Genomic DNA, 22744 nt, shown 5'->3' with positions numbered 1-22744 from the left:
CCCTCCCAGCGGGCGGCCTAGCGCACGCGGGCGCAGGGGAGGGCGCCAGAGCTGCTGACCTGTAGGAAACCGGCCGCTCGGGGCCGCCCGCGCCCGCCGCCAACCTCTGGCTGCTCCGCCCCGCGCTGACCCTGGAGGTCGCGCCAGGCCCTCGGCGCCGGCGGCCCTTTGTTTCCGGAGCTGCGTGGCGGCGCGCTCTCTGCGCCTCCCCTTGCACCCGCCGGCAGCGGCGGCGGCGGCGGCCTGGCAAGCGGGGCGGCGGGGTCGGGGTCCGGCACCTGCCCTCCCTGCCCCCACCCCGCGCGCCCCGCCGGGCCTCCGCTCCAGCCCCCGCTTTCCCCTCCCACCCATTTATCACCCGCGAGCTGCATGATCTGTGCCCCTGGGGGGCGGGGCGGGGGGCGGCCAGAGCGCGGGTTAGACCGCCCACCCGCTAACCCCTCACAAACTGGAAAAATCTCCCATCTTACTTGGGGGAAAAAAAAAAGAAAACTATTTTTAAAAGACCCTAAACTATCAGTTTCTGTTGTCATTCTTATATTGGTTTTTAATTCTCCGGGATTACACGAACAACAGTAGTAATTAATACTAAACCTTCCTCCACTGTATATGCTAATGGCAGGAGCCATAAAAATTAATTTGCAAACATGTCATTACACAATAGCTGTACAGGCAATAAACCTGTAATTATGAGCCAATCACAGGCATGGTACAGAGGGAGGGGTGCTCCCCCAATCTGCTGGGTGCCCCCCTTCCCCTGCTGCAGTGGGGAAGACTATGCCAGAAAGAAGCTTGCCTCCTGGGAGCCACCTGTGGAGATTGGGAAAGGGGCCTTTAGTCTGGAGCTCCCATCAGCCTGGCTTCCAGGCAAGATCACTTGGAGACAGCCATCGAGGTCCACCTGAGACTGAGCGCGGTGGCTCACGCCTGTAATCCCAGCACTTTGGGAGGCCGAGACGGACGGATCACGAGGTCAGGAGATCGAGACCATCCTGGCTAACACGGTGAAACTCTGTCTCTACTAAAAACACAAAAAAATTAGCCGGGCGTGGTGACGGGCGCCTGTAGTCCCAGCTACTCGGGAGGCTGAGACAGGAGAATGGCGTGAACCCAGGAGGCGGAGGTTGCAGTGAGCCGAGATCGCGCCACTTCACTCCAGCCTGGGCACAGAGCGAGACTCCGTCTCAAAAAAAAAAAAAAAAAAAAAAGGAGGGGCGGGTGCGGTGGTTCACGCCTGTAATCCCAGCACTTTGGGAGGCCGAGGCGGACGGATCACGAGGTCAGGAGATCGAGACCATTCTGGCTAGCACGGTGAAACCCCGTCTCTACTAAAAATACAAAAAATTAGCTGGGTGTGGTGGTGGGCACCTGTAGTCCCAGCTTCTGGGGAGGCTGAGGCAAGAGAATGGTGTGAACCCTGAAGGCGGAGCTTGCAGTGAGCCAAGATCGCACCACTGCACTCCAGCCTGGGCGACAGAGCGAGACTCCGTCTCAAAGAAAAAAAAAAAAGAAAGAAAGAAATTGAGTGCACGGAGGCGAAGCAGGGGCTTGGAGAGCTCCCCAGGCCTGGCTGGCGGTGGGTAGGCCAGACCAGGAAGGAGAGGGCCAGAGAAGAGTGGGCATGCCGGTGGGCCAGCTCCTGGCTGATCTTTGCTTCCTAGTCAAAGGTAAACATCTCCCTCTAATAAGTATTTGAATGCCTGCATCGAATTACCTTAAAATGCTCAGGCCAAGCCCTAATTGCTTTTAGCCACATCCTCGGGAAGGAGAGCTGTAAAATTCTAGCGATAGCCCAGCCTCCTTTGGCCCTGGATCTGGGCGTCTCAAAGTAGGTTAGTGACATTTCCTGGTGACAGGGACCTTTGTAAGGGAGGAAAATATGAGACCCACTATGGGAGGGTGGTTACACCACAGCTGCCGACCTGATGCCGAAACAGCTGAGAAACAGAAAGCAACCCCACCGTGCCCCGCCGTGAGCCTCCCGGGCGGCCTTCCATTGAACGGCCCGGTTGTTTGCCACAGTGTGGCTGAACGGGGTAGCGGGAAGGATTTTCCCGTTCCCACTGTCCCTTGTGGCTTGGCTGTGGCTTTTGGAACCCATCACTACAGCCATTCATTCCCAGGGGAGCTGCAGCACCCCTGCCTCTGAGGGTGCCTATGGCCTGGCTAGGGGTGACAGGGGCCACCAGTCTAGGCCACACCAGGACAGACTGCCAGGTGCCCATGTGAGAAGGGCAGCGCTCTTCGTAAGACTTCACACCAGAGGGATTCTGTCCAAGGAAAGGATGTCTCTGTCTCTCTCCACCCACACTTCTCCGGAAAAGCCTGGTGGTGGCAATGCTCTCTGTCCCCATCCCTCAGCTCACCGCTGGGGAGGAGTCAGACATTTATGGAAAAGAGGTAGGAAACTGGGCAGGCTGGACCACCCAGACCTGAGCCTCCAGGTAGCCCTTGTTAAAGACTGGGGACGCCAAGGGGCAAACTCACCCCGCACCTCCCTGAAAAAGCCCTGCCCACGCTGCACACCCACCCAAGGTCAGAGGGAAGAATGGGCCCCAACAGCGCAGGGCCATGTTCTGGACACAGCAGAAAAAGAGAGAAAACTGCTTCATCTCTCAATGGGAGAAAACAAGCTGGGGGCTGCTGGGCTGCTTCCCAGGAGGCGGCATGCGGCCCGCCGGATCCCCAATCTGAAGATGCAGCCCCCCACCCAACACCAGCTGCACCTTCAAAATGGAGGGTCCCCAGACTCCCTCTAGCGGGGCTGTCTTTGCCACAGCACGGAGACAGCCTAGCTGGCCAAGAGAGTCAGCTGAGAGCAATAAAAATAGCCTCCCAGCACGTGCTGGGAAAACTGAGGCTGCAGGCTGGGGTCTGGAGTGCAGGCGGCGGGGTGCCTCGGCTGGGAGCTGTGCCCACTGGCATCTGGTGGCCCCCCAGGACCAGGCCACAACCCCCCCCTCTGGAGAGAGGCACTGCTCCCCAAATTCCAGGAAAGGGAGGGGCGGGGAAGCTGCGTGGCTAACCTGGAATGCCCCGTCTGTTCTCGGGTGGGCAGCCTCCGTTTCCCTCTTTAGGGTAATAATACCAGCTGATGCTTCCCGCCTGCTCAGTCTGTGCCAGCTGCTGTTCTAAGCACTTTTCCTGGATAGCGCATTGGATCCTCGTGACAATCTGGTTCAAGGTCACCATGAGTTCCATTTTCCAGATGAAGAACAGAGAGGTCGAGCAGCTTGCCCAAGGACACACAGCCAGTGGGTGGCAGAGCTGGGGTTGGAACCCAAGCTGGCTCCAGAGTGCATGTTCATTACCATCGGCAAAGGTTTGCAGTCAGACTTCAAATTCCGTCTCGCCCCCACCCTCTGTGTGCCCTCGGGCAGTGACATTAACATTTTGACCCTCAGTTTCCTTACCTGGAAAATGAGGCGAATCACCCCTGCACTCCAGGAAGATACGTGTAATCACACCGGTGCCTGGCACACAGAGACTCCATGAGCAGAGCAGCCATTAGTCCTGTGTTTCAGATAACAGTGGTAATAATGCTAATAGCAGCTCCCACTGATGGGGCCTTAGTGCACTGGGGCTCCACAATGCCTGCTTTCCTACGATGTCATCTTACTTACGACCTGCCCCAGCATCCCCTCCCCTTGAGATGGGCACCACAGTGACCATCACCCACTTTTGTGCATGAAGATGCTGAGGCCCAGAGAAGTGAAGTCGCTCAGCAAGGGCAAGGGCATACAAGGAGAGGACACACCCTCTTTCTCTTTCTGTCCGGCTCTAGTCCTTAGGTCCCTGGACCGTCTATGAACATTCCAAGTCTCAAGCCAGTCTGAGGTTGAAAGAAAAAAGGGAACCTCTGTGCGGTCACACCTCATGGTGACTTCTGCATATCCAGGTTTTGTTTTTACCTTTGCTTGGTGGGAGCTACAGGGCACACCCCACCCACGGGTGCTGTCTCCTCTCAGAGCATCTAACCAGGATCCTGGGACCGAGGCATCCCCAGCCTGCCCCTGTGCAGCAGGCAGAATGGTAATCTGCCAAAAGTGATGTCTACATGGCCAGGTGCAGTGGCTTATACCCATAATCCCAACACTTTGGGAGGCCGAGGTGGAAGGACTGCTTGAGCCCAGGAGTTCCAAGACCAGCCTGGGCAACACAGTGGGACTCCGTCGCTACAAAAAATAAAAATGCTAGCCAGGTTTAGTGGCGTGTGTGCCTATAGTCCCAGCTACATGGGAAGCTGAGGCAGCAGGATCTCTTGAGCCCAGGAAATTGAGGCTGTAGTGAGCTGTGTTTGTGCCACTGCATTCCAGCCTAGGCGACAGAGCAAAGACCCTGTCTCAAAAAAAAAAAAAGAAGAGAAAAAGAAAAAAGATATGTCTGCTTGGTACCTGTGAATGTGGCCTTATTTAGAAAGAATCTGTGAAGATGCAATTAAGAATCTCCAGGCCGGGCGCGGTGGCTCACGGCTGTAATCCTAGCACATTGGGAGGCCGAGGCGGGCGGATCATGAGGTCAAGAGATCAAGACCATCCTGGCCAAATGGTGAAACCCCGTCTCTACTAAAAATATAAAAATTAGCTGGACGTGGTGGCGCACGCCTGTAATCCCAGCTACTCGGGAGGCTGAGGCAGGAGAATCACTTGAACCCAGGAGGCGGAGGTTGCAGTGAGCCGAGATCGAGCCACTGCACTCCAGCCTGGTGACAGAGTGAGACTCCGTCTCCAACAAAAAAAGAATCCCCAGACCAGATCATCCTGGATGATTAGGGTGGGCCTAAACTCAATGGCAAGGGTCTTTATAACAAGAGGAAGCACCTGCACCCCCACGTTTATCACCACACTGTTCACCACAGCCAAAACATGGAATCAACCTCGGTGTCCAACACGGACGAAGGAATCTAGAGAATGTGGTACCTACACGCAATGGAATACTACTCACCCGTAAAAAAGAATGAAACCCTGTCATTTGCAGCAACACGTGTGGAATTGGAGATTCTTACGTTAAATGAAATAGGCCAGACATAGAAAGGCAAACACTGCATGATCTCACTAATATGTGGGAACTAAGAAAGTGGATCTCATGATGACAGAGGCGGGAGGGCAGAAGAGAAGTTGATTAATGGGTGCAAATATACAATTAGATAGAAATAAGACCTAGTTTAAAAAAAAAAAAGAAGACCTAGTGTTCTATAGATCAGTAGGGTGACTATAGTTTATAATAATCTATTGTACACTTCAAAATAGCTAGAATAATTCGAATATTTCTTTCTTTCTTTCTTTCTTTCTTTTTTTTTTTTTTTTTTTGAGAAAGAGTCTCACTCTGTCACCAGGCTGGAGTGCTGTGGCTCAATCTTGGCTCACTGCAACCTCTGACTCCCTGGTTCAAGTGATTCTCCTGCCTCAGCCTCCAGAGTAGCTGGCATTACAGGCATGCGCCACCACGCCCAGCTAATTTTTTTGGTATTTTTAGTAGAGACAGCGTTTCACCATGTTGGCCAGGATGGTCTCGATATCCTGACCTCGTGATCCGCCCGCCTCGGCCTCCCAAAGTCCTGGGATTACAGGCATGAGCCACCTCGCCCGGCCTCAAATATTTCTAGAATAAAGAAAAGAAAAATATACCAAGTACACTGATTTTTTTTTTTTTTTTTTTGAGACAGAGACTCATTCTGTCACCCAGGCTGGAGTGCAGTGGTGTCATCTCGGCTCACTACAGCCTCCGCCTCCAGGGTTCAAGTGAATCTTGTGCCTCAGCCTCCCAAGTAGCTGATTACAGGCACATGCCACCACGCCTGGCTAATTTTTGTATTTTTAGTAGAGACAGGGTTTCACCATGTTGCCCAGGCTGGTCTCGAACTCCTGACTTCAGGTGATACACCCTCCCCGGCCTCCCAAAGTGCTGGGATTACAGGCATGAGCCACCACACCTAGCCCCAGTATACTGGTTTGATCTGTACTAATTATACAAATGTATTAAATTATACATTAATTATATAAATTTATTAAACTATCACATTACCCCAAAAACATGTTTTTTAAAAGAGGAACAGACAAAAGACAAGACACACAGGAGAGATGGCCACGTGAAAATAGAGGCAGAAATTGGCGTGATATGGCCACAAGCCGAGGGATGTCTGGATTCCCCGGGTGCTGGAAGAGGCAGGAAGGAGCCTCCAGAGGGAGCATGGCCCCGCTGACACATGGATTTCAGTTTCATTCCGTGAGAGAATACATTTCTGTTGTTTTAAGCTGCCACCCAGTTTGCAGTAATTTGTTATAGCAGCCACAGGAAGCTAATACATCCTGTCACTTCTATCAAATGCCCTCTGTCCCACCAGCCCTGGGAAGCTCTGGGCATTGTCCAAGTCTGGAAGCCGCATGCCTTGGGCCACAGCTGGGTCAAGCCATCCTTCAGGTGTGTCACAGGGACTGAGATTGAGATAAAGTGTCCTGAGGCCCTGGACAGGGGTGTGGTGAGGCTGCCCGCCCTCCACAAAACTCACGTCCACACTCCACTGGGACCTGCCCGCCGTCTCATCTCACTCCCTCGTGACACACATTTACCAGCCAGGCTTTGGGTGGAAGCCTGGCCCCCGGAGATCATCGGACGTGGCCATCTGCCCGGGGAAGTGGCCCGCCAGCCTTCCTGAGGATCTACCTCTAACTGCTGGCCTTGGGCACACCTTCAGGCCCCACAGGGCCAGGGGTGACAGTAACGACAAGAATCCCTGGTGGCCAGCTTCTTACCAAGCCATGCCCTTTCATCCCAGCCTCTAGGGCAATTGGGTGGGGCCAGGTGACCAAGTTCTGGCCAAGAGAATGTGGGAGAAGGAATCACTGGCCGCGTCCAGGCCTGGCCCGGAAGAGCTGCCTGTGCGAGCCTCTGTTTTTCTCTTCCTAGGTCTTTGTTATGAATACCTTCTCCCAGGATGACTCTGAGTACAGATACTGAAGCCAGCAACACCTCCATCAACTCCCCAAATGATGCTCAGGGCAGAGGCCCCTGTTCTGGCTCCCCACCAATCCTACATTATATGGGTGTGTCCTTGAGAAATAAATATCTACTGTACAACTTCTAATATAATGCACCCCTGAGAGGTTGAGCCTCTTTGTTACGGGGGCTTGTGTGAGTTTAACTAACAACACAGGCCGGGCGGGGTGGCTCATGCCTGTAACCCCAGCACTTTGAGAGGCTGAGGCGGGTGGATCACTTAGGCCACAAGTTCGAGACCAGCCTGGCCAACATGGTGAAACCCCATCTCTACTAAGAAATACTAAAATTAGCTGGGCACAGTGGCGCACGTCTGTAATCCCAGCTACTCAGGAGGCTGAGGCACTAGAATTGCTTGAACCCGGGAGGCGGAAGGTGCAGTGAGCTGAGATCGGGCCACTGTACTCTAGCCTGGGCAACAGAGCTAGACTGTCTCAAGAAAAATAAAAAACTAATGGCTGGGCGCGGCGGCTCCCGCCTGTAATCCCAGCACTTTGGGAGGCCGAGGTGGGCAGATCACGAGGTCAGGAGATCGAGACCATCCTGGCTAACACAGTGAAACCCCGTCTCTACTAAAAATACAAAAAACAATTAGCCGAGTGTGGTGGCGGGCGCCTGTAGTCCCAGCTACTCGGGAGGCTGAGACAGAAGAATGGCGTGAACCCGGGAGGCGGAGCTTGCAGTGAGCCGAGATCACGCCACTGTACTCCAGCCTGGGCGACAGTGAGACTCTGTCTCCAAAAACAAACAAACAAACAAACAAACAAACCAAAAAAACAAACTAACAACACATACCCATAGGTCTCTAGGTCTCCTTTCCGGATGCTGACTTTCTGCCGAATACTGTGCTACATGCTTTAAGTACATTATCTTGTTACATCTTCACAACAAGAGCAAGTCTATTATTATCTCCATTTTTCAGATGAGGAAACTGAAAAGCCCTAGAAAAGTGAAGTGACTTGCCCAAGGTCACACAGCCAGTAAGAAGCAATGCTCAGACTGGAACTCAGAGAAGTCGGAAGCCAGGCCCTGTATTTTCAACTCTCTCATCTCTCTGTGGTAGGAGCTGGCAAAGACGCTTTACCCAGAAACCCTTCTTAATTAAAAGCAAAACAAACAAAAAACAGGAAGGGCAAGAACACCGCATCTGCAGTCTACATGCAGAACTGTGTGTCCGACCTCCATTTTGGGGCTGCCCCTGGAGCAAGCTGCCAGCAAGCTCAGTATTTGGGAACTCTTTAAAATAATGGTTTTACAAGATAGAGGCAGCAATATGACAAAAGGCCTTCCTTCCTATGACTACGGAGATGCCAGAGAAATCAGACAGCGACTGTGTTGGGGACTGCCCAGGCCACATAGCTCATCCCTGTGAAGGGACCCTCTGCCTGTCCTCGGAACGCCTCCTGGGACGCAGACGGGCCACTTTTGGAGGGAGTCCATTGGTAATCTCAGACAGCCCTGGTTGTCCACATTCTGCATTGTGCAGAGCCAATGGGGGCCTGGCAAGAGCTGTTGGAAGGCACCACGGAGGTCTCCCGAGGGGAGGAGAAATATGGGAATAAATGCGACTCTGCAGTCCCTGAACCAGTGGCTCACACACCATCTGTGGACACCGTGACAGCGCGGGCACGGCTGGCCTCCTCACATCCTGCTCCGGCCGCGGTCCTGTTCTGCTGCCTGGGGGCAAACCGACAAGGCTTTCTTCTCCCCAGGCACTCCAGAGACCAGGCGAGGCCCTGCTCCAGGAAAACAGGCATTGCGAACAGCCCTTCCCACTGTCCGCTGCTGGGGTCTGCTGGACAAGAAGTCACTGCCAGGGTTGTTAATTCCCCATTTGTGGATGACACGCAGATCTCGCTGTCTCCTCCTGGGCCTAACTGGTTCAGGTCCATGTAGCCCTCTGGCCAACAAGATGTGGTTTCTATGAGCGGCTTCATCCCTGTCTTTCCCCTCATGCTGGGTGCGAGCTTTTTAGTGCGACAGACCAGAGTGGGATGCCCGAGGGCCCTCTGTGTCCTTCTCTGCCTTTACCTTGCAAAGAAATCTGGAGTCAGCCCCAGCCACTTCCTTTCCTATTGCTCTTCCTCGCCTGCTCTTTCTGGACTGTCCCCGTGGCCTGAGCTGTCCTTTACTTGCCCTCCAGCGGGTCATGCCTGAACTGATGGGGGAATTCTCGATGTGTCCCCAGCATGGGGTATTCAGTAGAATGGCTCCTCTGTCCTGGCACTTACAAAGCATGGGCACAGCTCAAGGTTTCTCAGCCTCGGCAAAACTGACACTGGGGGCCGGATGATTCTTCGCTGCGGGGACTGTCCCGTGCATTGCAGGATGTTTAGCAACATCCCCGGCCTCGACCCACGAGATGTCAATAGAACGGCACAGTCATGACAATCAAAATATGTCTACAGGCTGGCGCAGTGGCTCACGCCTGTAATCCCAACACTGTGGGAAGCCGAGGTGGGTGGATCACTTGGGCCCAGGAGTTCGACATCAGCCTGAGCAATGTGGCGAAAACCCATCTCTACAAAAAATACAATTAACTAGGTGTGGTGGTGCACGCCTGTAGTCCCAGCTACTTGGGAGGCTGAGGCAGGAGGATTGCTTGAGCTTGGGTGGCAGAGGTTGCAGTGAGCTGAGATCATGCCACTGCCCTCCAGCCTGGATGACAGAGCAAGATACTGTCTCAAATTAGAAACAAGTTTCCAGATACGGCCAACTGTCCCCCAAGGAGCAAAACTGCCTCCGTAAAGAACCACTCGCATAGCCTAAATAATCCAGCCAGCACGCTGGGTGACACAAGTTTTAGACCTCCTACTATGGCTGGCCTTGAGCCAACAGCTGCCCTCTCTTGGCCCCAGCTTTACCACATACAAATTTAGAGGGGCTGAATGGGGTGCTCTGGTCTTCCAGCTGTCTCAGATTCTCCAGTGCTGCTTAGAACCAATGGTTCCAAGACAGGGATAAGCTTGTGACTCAGGACAACAGGATCAGAAGGGAAGGGACCCAGGGCCTGCCCCCCAGCAGGGCTCATGCAAAAAACATGGGGAATGGGGTGTGGACTCTATGGGGTGGGCAACCCTGGTGCCTCTGGCATCTCAGTGTTTATCCCTTTTCTCTGCAGTCCTCTTTCTCCCCAACCTAAACAAAACCTGCTCTGAAAAGAAATATCTACTATTAATCATTCACACTGTAGTATGACTTAGCCTTCCCTCTGCTATCTCTATAGAATCCAGGCTATGTCCGGTTGGGTCCATCTCCTAGCCCCTGGAACAGCTATAGGATATATTTGGGAAAAGCAAGGCAAAGGAGACTTTTTTTTTTTTTTTTTTTGAGATGGAGTCTTGCTCTGTCGCCCAGGCTGGAGTGCATGGCACAATCTCGGCTCACTGTAAGCTCTGCCTTCTGGGATCAAGCAATTCTCCTGCCTCAGCCTCCTACAGGCGCCTGCCACTGCACCTGGCTAATTTTTGTATTTTTAGTAGAGATGGAGTTTCACCATGTTGGTCAGGCTGGTCTTGAACTCCTGAACTCATGATCTACCCACCTTGGCCTCCCAAAGTGCTGGGATTACAGGCATGAGCCACCACGCCCGGCTACAAGGAGACATTCTTAAGGGCATTTACGCTAAAAACAGTGGCTTCCATTTCTCAGGTCATGTAATGAGGGAAACTACCGAGTACCCTGTATTGCAGCAGCTGCTGCAGGGAGGGAGAAGCCCCAGCCTGGTGCTGGACTTGGGAGGAGGTCATGTGACTCACAAGTATCATGGTGAAGAGGTGGGGCCAGCAGGGCCACCCACAAACCAGGTGCTGTGTGGACAGTCCCCCGGGCTTCACGACCATCAGTCTCATACAGCAAACGCTAGCTTGTGCTGAGCTGAACACAGCACCAAGGCCAGAGCACTCTTAGTTAGCAGTCACAGTCCCAACCCATGTGTCCCAAAGACAGCCTTTCCGGTTGTTTGTGGGGTGGAGCAACCCAGAAGCATCTCCGCTTCAGCTCTTCATTGGGAGGTAGGCTTGCTGCGCCTGGGCAGAGCGAGACACACCTGTTAAGTTCTGCACAGCGGAGGCTTATGGGTGTGGGAGAGGATGCTGGGTCCCAGCACGGTTCTGCCCCTGTGGCAGGTGCAGTGTGGCTCTGGCCTTCAGTCTCCTCCTCTGTAGGACACTTGGACGAAATGATCCCCCAGGCCCTCCAGCTCGGTAAGCCCATGATTAATAAAACTCAGACACACCATCTGCTCACTCTGACATTTAAGAAACAGAACGGGTTTCCAAAGAGAAAGCTGCCCTGTGCAGCCTGCTCCCCGCCTTCGCCTGCTGATCCAAATGTGGGTTCACACCCTCCCCGCATCCCAGCCCTGACTCTACAAATTCCAACATGCACACACACAATCACACGCAGAGCGGGCTCCCCCTCCTCCAACCCAGAAGGTCAAAACCGGATGGGGTGGGGGTGGGGCAGGGCAGCTGAAGGCAGAGGCCTGCCCTAATAAAACCCTGAAATGACTGATGTCTTCTGGGCCTCCCACCCTTTATACTGCCTTCTCTACCCCGAGGGCAAGGATGCATTTTGAAAACCACACATCTCCAAACTTCACAACTCCCCTGATGCCCAGACAGCCTTCCCTCATGCTCAGCCCGTTCCCAGTGCTGGGGAGGGAGACTGCTCTCCCCTTCTGCAGATGGAGAAAGTCAGCCCAAGGTCACACCAAGGACAAGCAGCGAGGCAGGGACGTGGCCCCTGACAGAGTACACGCATGTGGAATGTTCTGTGCCATGCAGGGCCCCTTCCCCCTGTACTGCTCATCAACACCATCCCTGCCGCTCTGTCCTCCAGACAGCCCTTCACCGTGCCCCGTGGCTTTGCCTCTTATGTGACAACTCAGAAACAGGACCTCAGGCCCACTCTGATCCCAGGCACAGAAGCGAACCCTCTGTGATGTGCCCGTGGCCCTGCCTTGTCCACGGAGTGGCTGGCAGGGGTCTGCTGGGCAAGAAGTGGGGGACAGTGTGGGCCCCCAGGTGAGACTTTCCCACCAGCCGGACTTAGAAAAGGGTTTTCACTTGGCCCAGGAGCTCAGCTGGGGCAGTGGGGACACGGTCAGGACAGTGAGGCCTGTGCCAGCCAGGTGGCTGCTGTGTGGCTTCCTCCGGGTACCCAGGCTCCGCCTCTGGCAGGGCACAGTGGAGAAAGTCCCTCGGGAAGGCCCTAGACTAGGGCCTGGCACTCTTTGTTGACTGTGTCTCGGTCACCCCCAACTCAAGCTGTCCTCTTGCAGCTGGCAGCCCTCCCGGGGAACCCCCAGGTGGTCAGCTCTCACCATCCCAGCCTTGGCCTATCAGCCTCCCTGGATGGCTTCTAGACTCTTCCTCCATGCTGGTCTCCTCCTGAACATTCCATGCAGCTGCCTACTCCCACCCTGACTGCGCTGGACAAAATGCCTGCTGCTCCCCACCATTCTCCCTGTCGAGCACAGCCCCCAGACCCTCCTCTCAGGCTCTGTCTCTGCCCCTACCCCCATCCCCGCCACACCACCCTGCTTGGCGAAGTGGCCTGAATGTCTCATAATGGCCAGTAAAACCAACCCAAAAAAACTAGATAAGAATGTACCCAAGGCTTCTTTTTTTTGAGACAGGGTCTCACTCTATTGCTCAGGCCGGAGTGCAGTGGTGCAATCACAGCTCACTGCAGCCTCAAACTCCTGGGCTCAAGGGATCCTCCTGCCTCAGCCTCCCTAGTATCAAGGACTACAGGCCCATGCCACTTCACCTGGCTAATTTTTTGAAGAGACAGGGTCTCACCATGTTGCTCAGGCTGGTCTCAAACTGCTGGGCTCAAGCGATCCTACCTCAGCCTCCCAAAAAGCTGGGATTACAGTGGTGAGCCACCACACCTGGGTACCTCCAGCACCAAAGAGCTGTCAAGACTAGAAGGGATCACCATGCCAAAAGGAATGGAAATAGGAAATCCTCAAGCTGACCTAGCTCAGAGGCCACATTTGCCCCAAGGGCATCTACAGGTCCTAGCAAATTTGAATTTCTGTTTTTATGGCCTTGAGGGTCAAGGGGAACACAAAGCCAAGCCTCAGGCACTTTGCACAAGTTGGGGATCCGATAGGAGACCCTCCCCACAATAAGCTGGGACTCCAAAGAACTACCTATTCCGTGTGAGTGAAGGGCAACTTGACCAGCCCCTGTGTGAAAGGACAGGCAGGGTGGAATCTCTAGTGCTGCCCATTGAACATCAAGGCCTGAACTGGATGAAGGGGGTCCAAAGCCCTGTCTCTAGGCACCTACCAGACGTGTACGTCCTCCTGAAGGAAAGCACCTTCCTTCTGGGCTTCAAAGTATGCCTACAAAAATGTTTCATATACAATGAGCTGTACACAATCAAAAATAACCAGGCAAACAACAAACCACACTTCCCAGTCGAGAATCAGCAGCCACAACAGCTGACAGAAGCAGACCTGCAGTGACTTTGGAAGCTGGAATTATAGGCACCTGTACAACAACCCTGCTGACTTCGATATAAAATAAAAGACGAGCCTGCAGCTGTCTGCAGAGAAGAGGAAATCATAACAAGAGAAGCGGCACAGTCTAACCTCTCACCAGGTCACAGGCCCCACGAGGGCCAGGACTCTCCTTTGTTCCCTGCCATGACCCCTAGAGCAATGCCCTGCCCACATGGGAGCTCAGTAGCAAACTAACTAAATGAACACACTGGACTAAGGCCTTCAGGGAGGGGACAGGGCAGCCATCCGCCTGTTCTGGGTGAGCCTGGTGAATCACTCTAGTCAGTGAGCAGATAGGTGAGAGGAGGTGATTAACCCCAAATTTCCCTTCAACGTGACATGTCTCTGTGTGAACGCAGGCGCTAATGAAAAAACAAACCCAGCCACAGAACGGCCTCCAACAGTGGAGAAAAACAACCCAGAGGTGTAATGACTATTGCAAAAAGCTGAATCCTTTAGGCCAAAACAAGCACCCCCCACCGTTATAATTTCGAGTTATCCATTCTTTATTACAACTCATAGCCTTGGCTCGAAAAGCCTGTACCAGGGATTCTTTCTGTGGGGGCAATTTTGGTGCCTGCAATTAGCTGAACAGGCAGCTTTTGTCCCTGCTAAAGCACTCAATTGCAGGTGTAATTAGGTTCCCTCACCCCTGAAATCTGCAGAGAGCCGCCCGCCTTGACTAACTGCACCCACAATTAAGTGCTTACGGGCATGTGGCTGGAGCCGGGAAACATGTGCATGCAGCTAATAGCAGGGGCACCAAGCAGGTTTGCAAAAATAGACACTGCGGTGGAGAGATCCAGGCTTTTTGCATTTGTTGTTCAAACGGCTCTGTCCAGCTGGGAATAACGAGGAAAGACAAACACACCAATTAGGCTGGGTCCATACATAAATAAACTGCACAGCTCCTTAATTAAGACACTTACAGGAGTGGGCAAAGCTGTGTGGAGGCAGGGGAAGGTGAGCCATGCCCCGCGGGGCTGGCACTGTGCAGGGGCACCGGCCTTGAAGAGCACCCAGGGCGGATGCCATGGTGGCCCGGATGGCAGAGTCAGTGGCAGACCCACTCCTGGTGAACACAGCTGTAGGCCACTCCAGCCAAGGGATACCGAGGTGGGTGGGGGAGATTTGGGGGCTGGAGAGGGACTGGTGGGAGATGGGGAGGAGCCCCAGAGGTCTTCCAGGGCAAGAGGGAGGTTAAAGCAGGAAAGGAAACGAAGGTGGCTTAAATCCTGGGTGTCCAGAGAGCGGCAGTGGGGCACCGAGCCTGCTCCCAGATCCTTTTCCAAGAGCTGGTTGGTCTGGTGGGTGACCTCCTCCCTGCAAGCAGCGGTACCTGCCCTCTCCTCCTCCACTTCCTCCCCACAGGGGCCTCCGAAGGTGGCAAGTCCCCAGTGAAACCACCGGCTGGCTTCCAAGGCTGGCTCCCCCAGGGCACCTTTAGTCGAGACCCAGGCCCTTGTCAAGCTCCCTGGCTACAAGCACCGTCAGAGAAAAGAAAGGACGCATGGGGCCGGCGACAAGACGGTACATGCCAGGAGGTGAAAGGCTGCTGGGGACTGAAGGGAATTTGTGTATTTCTGCTCCCCAGTACCCCCACACTTGTAAACTCCCTGCCGCACTGCTGTATTTCTTCTCACCAAGAAAACCAAGCAGATCATAGTCACTGCACTCAGGCCAGGGAGAAAAGCTTCCGTCTCTCCCCACAAGTTGAGCCACTGAAAGCGATTTGCCTTTTGCAGGGCTCAGCAGTCCTGGCTGAAAGCAAAGGGCAGAGGCAATATTTAGATAATTAAAAACCCATTGCTGGCGGGCCAGCCGGGCGGCCACAGGTGGCTCTAGGGTGGCCCGGCAACGGCTCAGAACGGCCAGCGTGCCTCTCTTCTCCCCTCCCCTTCTGGCCTGGGTCTCCTGATTCAGCTACGGCTGTGGGAGATGAGAGGCCAGCAATCCAGCCGGGTGGCCAGTGGGAAATGGTGCCCAGGGAGGGGTCCGGGCCCAAGGCTGCACTTCTGGCTCCATGGCCCTCACTCAAGAGCTGGCCTCAGCTGCCTTTCCGTCCACCCCTGCTCCAGCCACGCTCGCCTCCCTGCCTCAGGCCTCTGTCTGGCTATCCATGGCTCCTGGCTCTATCCCAGCCTGTACTCAAACACAAACTCCATAGAGAGGCCCACCCCAACCGCCCCAGCCTCCTTGACCCCTCACTCTGCTGCGGGGCTTTAGGGTACCATTTGATTTCTGAATTCACACCTGGCTTTTCTGTCCTTCATTCATCTTTCTCGCCAGGGCCTCTTCGGCCTTCACCATGGGATCAGCTATGCAGCAGACACACAGTGACTGGACAAGTCAGTGGCCAGGTACGAAGCCAACCAGGCGCCTCGGAAGGGGGCTGGGCACGAATCCACATGGGGACTGTGGCCTCTGTGAGCCCTATGGCTCTGGAAGCTTCCTCCCACAGGGGGTTCCTGCGCCATGGGAGCTTGAGCCCAGAACTCGAGCCCTGGCTGAGCTGGGCCCCAGCTTTCAGGCGCCTGGGCAGCCCCGTTGACCCCAGGTTGGGCCGGCCGGGCAGCCCTCAAGCCCTCACTTAGCTTCACCTTTGCATTTTTAAAGCTCGTCTCAGGTCCAGGAGTCACCGAGCTCCCAGGAGCGGGGCAGAGATCCCCCTGTCTCCACTGTCCCGCCCTCTCTCCACTCCCCTGCTCTTAGCAAATGCCTGTGAGAATCAAAATCAGGATCGGCTCCTCTTCACACAGCCCATCCTTGATGGTCTGTTGTCATGGGGACAGCCTGAGCATGGGCCACCACCATCCACAGCTAACCTGCAGCCCAGATTTTAGGCCCTGCGTCACCTGCCTTCCGACCAAACGCTGCTCAGAGCCACTAATGAGCCACAGAACGGGCAGCTGGAATCTCCCTCCTGTCTCGCTTCTGCATCTCGGCTTCACTGGAGCCTTCCTGGGCGAGGTGCTGGAGAGGGCAGGACCTGACCACTGCCCAGCCCACTCGTCGGGGTGGGGCCTGCTGGCCGGAAGGCTCAATGACCACGTCAGGCGTCCTGCTCTTTCTCCAAACTCCAGGGGCATGTGTCCCATGCACAGGGTCACCATTCCTCGCCGGTTCCATTCCAGGTCCTGAGTTTCTACAGACTTCCCCTGTGACCCATGATCTTTCCTGACAGCAGCCCCATCCCTTTGCCTGTAGCAGTGGCAAAATCAGCCACACCTGGCCCATCCCAGGAGGCCCCGGGCACCTCTTCCCTCCCTCTCACCCCTCAGAGACGGGAACAGTGACATGGCCATTCCAGGCCAGGCAGGCTCCTGGAGAGGGCAGGGGCTGGGAGCCAGAGGGCCTGGGTTCCAAGCCACTGCCATGCAGGGCCCGTGGCCTCGCGGTACCTCAGATCCTTGTCACACTGAGTGTGGGTGAAGAAGCTGCCACCCGACCGTGTGAAACACAGCGGAGGCCCAGCCCTCCGTTATCCGTGAGGTGTGACCGATGTCCCATGTGCTAGACGAGCCCTGCCCGCGGCCCACACAGGCAAGGACTGCAGAGGCGCCTGGCAAGCAGGGAACACCCTGGAGACCCTCCTCCTCCCTGGGAACTAGAGGCTGCTTGGCCGACCGTCCTGCCTCCTGGAGCTTCTGGATGGGGCTCTATTTCTTCTCACCCCCATGCAGCCAACTCCACTGTTACTTACTGAGAGAAGGTTCAGCCTCTCCTTTTCAGAGGAGCCCCAGTCGACACCTCCTGAGCACCACCCACTTCCCTAAAGGAAGCAAGCCAGGGAGGCCCCACGGAGAGAACTCAGAACTTCCTGGCCTTCAACCACAGAAGCCTTGTTGGTGACCTGGCCAAAACCCATTAATCGCTAGAGGTGGCTGGGCCTCCCTCCTGGGGACCGTTTCCCTGGGACATTCCCTCCAAGTTCTTCTGAATCTCTTTCTCGTGGCCTTCTGGGTCTGCTTTGCTACTGTCCCCTCTTGCAGCCCCTGTCCTGATGACTCAGCCCTTACTGTGTCTTCCATCTTTGAATCCCAAAGCCTAGGCCTAGAGCCTGTGTATGGCAGGTGCTCAATAAATGCTTTCCGGGTATACAGCAGGTGCCCAATGAATGCCCGTCAGAGACCACATGAGGTAGAGGTAGGGCCGGACAGGACAGGCCTTTGAAGCTGGAGGGAATTAAGAAAGAAGGTCCGCTGGCCCTGCGGCAACAGCTTTATTTCTGCAGGCAGAGTAGGGGTGAGGGTGGAAAAATGGTTCCCATTGGCGCCTAGCCAGGGATTTTGTGTTGCTCTCTCAGGCCCTGGGGCTGGTATCTTGACACATGCAGCTCCAGGTCAGTGATAGGACCTACTGGGGGTCCCACCCACTTCTCCTTTCACCCAGTATCACCCCAACCCCCAAGCAGCCTTCCTCTTATCAGCCAACTGTCACACCCAGAGGGCCGCGGTGGCTTTGCTTTTTAATCCCTCTCTCCCGGGCCCAGATAAGGAGGCCAACCTTTACCCTCTGCAGCTTCCCCTCAGCGGCCTGGAAAAGCTCCCGGGTCACACAGGCTGAGGGTGTCTGTAAAATCCCACTGACTCTGGAGGTAACCCAGGCGGGGTAGAGAAGGAAGGCCGAGGCCAGGGTTTCCCATCTGGGAGAATCTCATACCCCCCGGAGACCTGGCTGTGGCCGCAGACAAGGGGAGGCAAAGACGAGCACCTCGTTCCCCGAGGGCTCCGTAAGGATGCCTTGTTGTATGACTGTGGCTCTGAACTGGCTGCTCCACCATCTCGGCACCGTGAGGCAGGAACCAGAGTCAGCCGGGAGCACACAGGGCAAGCCTTCCTCATGCCTCCCCCAGGCTGGTGTGACCCTGCCCCACCTCACTGAGCCTGGAGCCCTTTGGGGCCGGGGCTGGGTCTCATTTCTGTCTGTATCCTGGCCCTGAGAAGGCCTGGGTCCCCTGCTCAGACCATCTCTGTGTATGTGAGACAGTCCCGCACAATCAGCTCTAAGAAACAGGTGTGTAAGGAGCTGCTGCCATGCCGTGCACACATGCCTCCAAGACCACGGGCTCCTCATTCCTCATTCACACAGCCCCAGCTGGAAGCAACCCAAGCATCTGTCCCAAAGCAAAAGACTGGACCAACAAATCGCTAAATCGCTACCACGGAACACCACGCAGCAGAAGGAACAGGCTATCAATACACGCAGCAACGCTGACGGACGTCACAGACAGGGGAGCAACGCTGTGTGACTGCATCTCCATGAGGTTCCACAGCAGGCAAAACTACCCCAGTACCCCAAAAGAAGCGACGGGAGGGCCCCAACAGACATTGCACACCCGAGCTCACGGCGGCACGACCAGCAGCGGCCAAGAGGCGGACACGACCCAGGAGTCTGCAGACAAACGACGAATAAACAAAATGTAGTACGCGCATACAGTGGAAGATGGCTCTGCCTTAAAAAGGAAGAAAATGTGGTTGCCACAGGCTGGAGGGACTCTGAGGATGCTGCACTGGGTAAAACGAGCCAGTCACAAAAAGGTACTGCAGGATTCCACGTAATGTTATGTATATTTTACCATAATGTTTTAAAAAAAGAAATTGGCCGGGCGTGGTGGCTCAGTCCTGTAATCCCAGCACTTTGGGAGGCCGAGGTGGGCGGATCACTTGAGGTCAGGAGTTCAAGACCAGCCTGGCCAACATGGTGAAACCTCATCTCTACTAAAAATACAAAAATTAGCCAGGTGTGGTGGCGCACACCTGTAATCCCAGCTATTTGGGAGGCTGAGGTGGGAGGATTGCTTGAGCCTGGGAGGTGGAGGTTGCAGTGAGCCGAGATCAGGCCACTGCACTCCAGCCTGGGCGACAGAGCAAAACTCCATCTCAAAAAAAAAAAGGAAGAAGAAATTTAAAAACTAGCCTAAAGGGATGTAAAGCAGATGACAGTTGCCAAGGCTTGGCTGTGGTGGAGAGATGATTGGGAAGGAATACCTGAGAAGGAACGTTCTGGAGTGACAGCATTATTCTAGACCTTAATGGGGTGGGGGTTACACAGACGTACGCATATGTCAGACACCAGTGAGCAGTCCCCTCACAGTGGGTACATTTTGTTGAATGCAAACCACCCCTCAATAATGCCGAGTTTATTTTATTTATTTTTAAGACAGGGTCTCCCTCTGTTGCCCAGGCTGAAGTGCGGTGACTGGATCACAGCTCACTGCAGCCTCCACCTCCCGGGCTCAAGCGATCCTCCCACCTCAGCCTCCCAAGTAGCTGGGATCACAGGTACGTGCCACTACGTCCAGATAGTTTTTAAAATTTTTTGTAGAGATGGGGTCCCTCTATGTTGCCCAGGCTGGTCTCAAACTCCTGGGCTGAAGTGATCCTCCTGCTTTGGCCTCCCAAAGTGCTGGGATTACAGTCATGAGCCACCATGCCTGGCCAATAACATTGATATTAAAAGCTAAAAACATACTTTGAACACCCATCTTCCAACATATGCATATTTATTTGAGTCATTTTTAGGTACTACATGTTAAAGATCTCTCCATTATAACACATATGCAAACAGAGATTTTTTGTTTGTTTGTTTTTTGTGTTTTTTTGAAACGGAGTCTCGCTGTGTCGCCCAGGCTGGAGTGCAATGGTGCGATCTCGGCTCATTGCAACCTCCGCCTCCCAGTTTCAAGCGATTCTCCTGCCTCAGCCTCCTGAGTAGTTGGGATTACAGGTGCTCACCACCATGCCCGGCTAATTTTTGTATTTTTTTTTTTTTTTAGTAGAGACAGGTTTTCGCCATGGTCAGGCTGGTCTCGAACTCCTGACTTCAGGTGATCCCCCTGCCTTGGCCTCCCAAAGTGCTGGGATTACAGGCGTGAGCCACCACGCCCGGCCAAACAGAGAAATTTCTAAAAGACAAGACACATTGAGTTCTAGCATTTTCTTCCAGAGCCCACTGGGTTGCTGTCCTCACCTTGGAGACCAGATCAACACTGTTGACAGGCAGCGGCCGACACCTCCGGCAGAACAGGAGGTAGGGAGCGGGCTGGTTTGTGCTGGTTTTGGAGTACGTGGGGCATGTTCTGGGGAAAATCTCAAGTCCCTGAAGTGTGCTGATGACAACCACCAAACCAGGGGCCACAGGCGCAGGACTTGCAGGGGCGGCCCACTTCACGGCACATGCACTTTGCAGGTTCTGGAGCCCTCTGCCTACACCCTCACATATAAGAACAGGCGTGACTCCAAAATACACATGTGGCAGGTATGCCAGAATTCTCCAAAGCAGACGGAGTCTCCACCTGGAGCCACAGGCCCATCCTGCCTTCCACCCGATGCTGGAGCCTGGGGGCTCTGCTCAGAATCCAGGCAGGGAGGAACAGTGCGGGGCGGTGGGAGGCGACCACTGCAGACACACAGACGTGGCATGTAGGGCAGTAATCAGGAAGGAGGGGTCCCCAGCGCTAGGCCAGACGTGGTGGTTCACACCTATGATCTCGGCACTCTGGGAGGCCAAGGCAGGAGGACTGCTTGAACCCATGAGTTTGAGGCCAGCCTGGCTACAAAGGGAGACTTCATCTCTGCAAAAATAAAAATAAGTTTAGCCTGGCGTGGTGGCGTATGCTTGTGGTTCCAGCTACTCGGGAGGCTGAGTCAGGAGGATTGCTTGAGCCCGGGAGGTCAAGGCTGCAGTGAGCCATGATTGTACCACAACACTGCAACCTGGGCAACAGAGCAAGACTCTGTCTTAAAAACAAACAAAATGATCCCAGCTCTACCACATTTTAGCTGTGCAGCCTTAGGCATACTCCTACGTGCCTCAGTTTCCCCATATAAAAATGTGGATGGTGCTATGTGCTTGGGGTTATCAAAGTTGTGAGGATGAAAAAGCTAATATACAGAACCAATACACAAACCATATTAAAATGGAGTGTCTGTGTCAATCTTTCTTCAAGGCTAACACTGTATACAACGCGCTCAGAGCAAGCCCTGTGCTGAAGACTTGTCACTGTTACTGTCTCCCTAGACACCCGGGTCCTGCCTCTGCCTGCCCCCCTACTCGCGCCCCTTCTCCATCAGCTCCCTGGGGAATCTGTGTTCTCTCTGAGGACACCAAGAGAGAGGGAGGAGAGCCTCAATCAGCCAAAATAGTCTCTTGTCTCTGCAGTCCAAGTTCAAGTCCACAGTTGGGTTTGTGTTTAAGTTGTCCTTTTCCTGTCCTGCGCCCAGCACCTGGCCCCTCCCTGAGCCCATTGTCTCAGGACCCGGGGCCATCCGGTCCATCCTGGGGGAGAACAAGGGAGCCCCCTGCCATTTCCTCAGACGTCAAGTCCCTTGGCCGAATAAACACAACTTCACACAAAAGACATCCCGGCGAGGCCATACAGCAGTGTGGGGCCGGGGCAGGGCGGAAGGGGGGCAGGCAGAAGCCACTGTTCCAGAACATTCTGTGTAAGGTGCCAGCGGGGCCATCCTTGGGTTCCAGGGTTTCTTTTAGCAGAGGCTGGGCCAAGAATGCCTGCCTGGAAAGCTGAGGCCCTCCGAGAGGGCTCCTTCCTCCCTCTCTCCTACCCGACACCACAGAGACATGCCCTATGAGAATCTATGGACGAGAGTCTGTGCTCATCCGTCTACCCAAGCAAGGGCCATGACAGGGGTCAGCGGCCCTGGACGACTTACTCCTACTCCCAAGCTGTCTACGGCCACCATCTGACCTCTCTGCCCCAGGACTGTGTTGTTTAGGGCCTCACAGGACACAGGACAGATGGGTACAAGCAGCTCAACACCCCAGCCGTCTCAGAGCTGTGCCCACAGTGGGGCTAAAGGACACACTCTCTATTGCTCCTTCCCTTCCCCATGTCCCCTTCCCACTTTCTCCTGCTATCTCCAGAGATCATTTCCCAAATAAAGCTCCTGCACTGAGGTCTGAATCCGGGCAACCGAACGAAGCCAGAGGCAAAGGTGTGTGCATGGCATCAGTTGGCAACTCCTTGGAGCCAGAGATCAGCCCCTGCTCCCAGCACAGAGCCAGGCTGGTGGGGTTCAGCCCAAGGTGACAACACAAACAACACCTGTCAGACAAAGGGAAGCCAGGGCAAGTCACTGTCCAGGGAGTGGCCAAGGGGGCTACGCCTCAGCTCTGGCACGGAGGCTGCAAGAAGAGAATCCTCCTCACTTGGGCCTCAAGGTTTCCCCTGGTCTCAGTCACGTTCAGATTTTCCCTCCTCCGATGACA

The 22744-nt window shown here is 54.6% G+C and overlaps 1 protein-coding gene across 9 annotated transcripts in view, besides 6 other annotated features; it reads right to left on the bottom strand.

The window, feature by feature from the left end:
• GSE1 (Gse1 coiled-coil protein) overlaps nt 1–22744 on the bottom strand; it is a 506689-nt gene that overhangs the window by 122664 nt on the left and 361281 nt on the right. Inside the window, exon 1 of one of the 9 annotated variants that reach the window (XM_047433823.1) lies at nt 60–239. The exons of the other annotated variants lie outside the window; for them this stretch is intronic. The gene's annotated coding sequence lies outside the window, so the exon portion shown is untranslated. Of the gene's footprint in view, nt 1–59; nt 240–22744 lie in introns of those variants that run through there. 9 annotated transcript variants of the gene reach the window in all.
• Nucleotides 10–269: a silencer, noted in NCBI's record as "silent region_7807". NCBI's record gives its function as "represses an Ori minimal core promoter by ATAC-STARR-seq in GM12878 lymphoblastoid cells {active_cell/tissue: GM12878}" and the evidence as "EXISTENCE:reporter gene assay evidence [ECO:0000049][PMID:35858748]".
• Nucleotides 2196–2783: an enhancer, noted in NCBI's record as "H3K4me1 hESC enhancer chr16:85584360-85584947 (GRCh37/hg19 assembly coordinates)". NCBI's record gives its function as "activates a minimal SCP1, AML or CMV promoter by ChIP-STARR-seq in naive H9 embryonic stem cells {active_cell/tissue: H9 hESC(naive)}" and the evidence as "EXISTENCE:reporter gene assay evidence [ECO:0000049][PMID:30033119]".
• Nucleotides 2784–3372: an enhancer, noted in NCBI's record as "H3K4me1 hESC enhancer chr16:85583771-85584359 (GRCh37/hg19 assembly coordinates)". NCBI's record gives its function as "activates a minimal SCP1, AML or CMV promoter by ChIP-STARR-seq in naive H9 embryonic stem cells {active_cell/tissue: H9 hESC(naive)}" and the evidence as "EXISTENCE:reporter gene assay evidence [ECO:0000049][PMID:30033119]".
• Nucleotides 6116–6616: an enhancer, noted in NCBI's record as "H3K4me1 hESC enhancer chr16:85580527-85581027 (GRCh37/hg19 assembly coordinates)". NCBI's record gives its function as "activates a minimal SCP1, AML or CMV promoter by ChIP-STARR-seq in primed H9 embryonic stem cells {active_cell/tissue: H9 hESC(primed)}" and the evidence as "EXISTENCE:reporter gene assay evidence [ECO:0000049][PMID:30033119]".
• Nucleotides 8127–8960: an enhancer, noted in NCBI's record as "H3K4me1 hESC enhancer chr16:85578183-85579016 (GRCh37/hg19 assembly coordinates)". NCBI's record gives its function as "activates a minimal SCP1, AML or CMV promoter by ChIP-STARR-seq in naive H9 embryonic stem cells {active_cell/tissue: H9 hESC(naive)}" and the evidence as "EXISTENCE:reporter gene assay evidence [ECO:0000049][PMID:30033119]".
• Nucleotides 10721–11630: an enhancer, noted in NCBI's record as "H3K4me1 hESC enhancer chr16:85575513-85576422 (GRCh37/hg19 assembly coordinates)". NCBI's record gives its function as "activates a minimal SCP1, AML or CMV promoter by ChIP-STARR-seq in naive H9 embryonic stem cells {active_cell/tissue: H9 hESC(naive)}" and the evidence as "EXISTENCE:reporter gene assay evidence [ECO:0000049][PMID:30033119]".

Source organism: Homo sapiens, chromosome 16 (assembly GCF_000001405.40).
Source record: "Homo sapiens chromosome 16, GRCh38.p14 Primary Assembly".
Classification (NCBI taxonomy): domain Eukaryota; kingdom Metazoa; phylum Chordata; class Mammalia; order Primates; family Hominidae; genus Homo; species Homo sapiens.
This window is presented reverse-complemented; position numbering and strand designations above follow the sequence as displayed.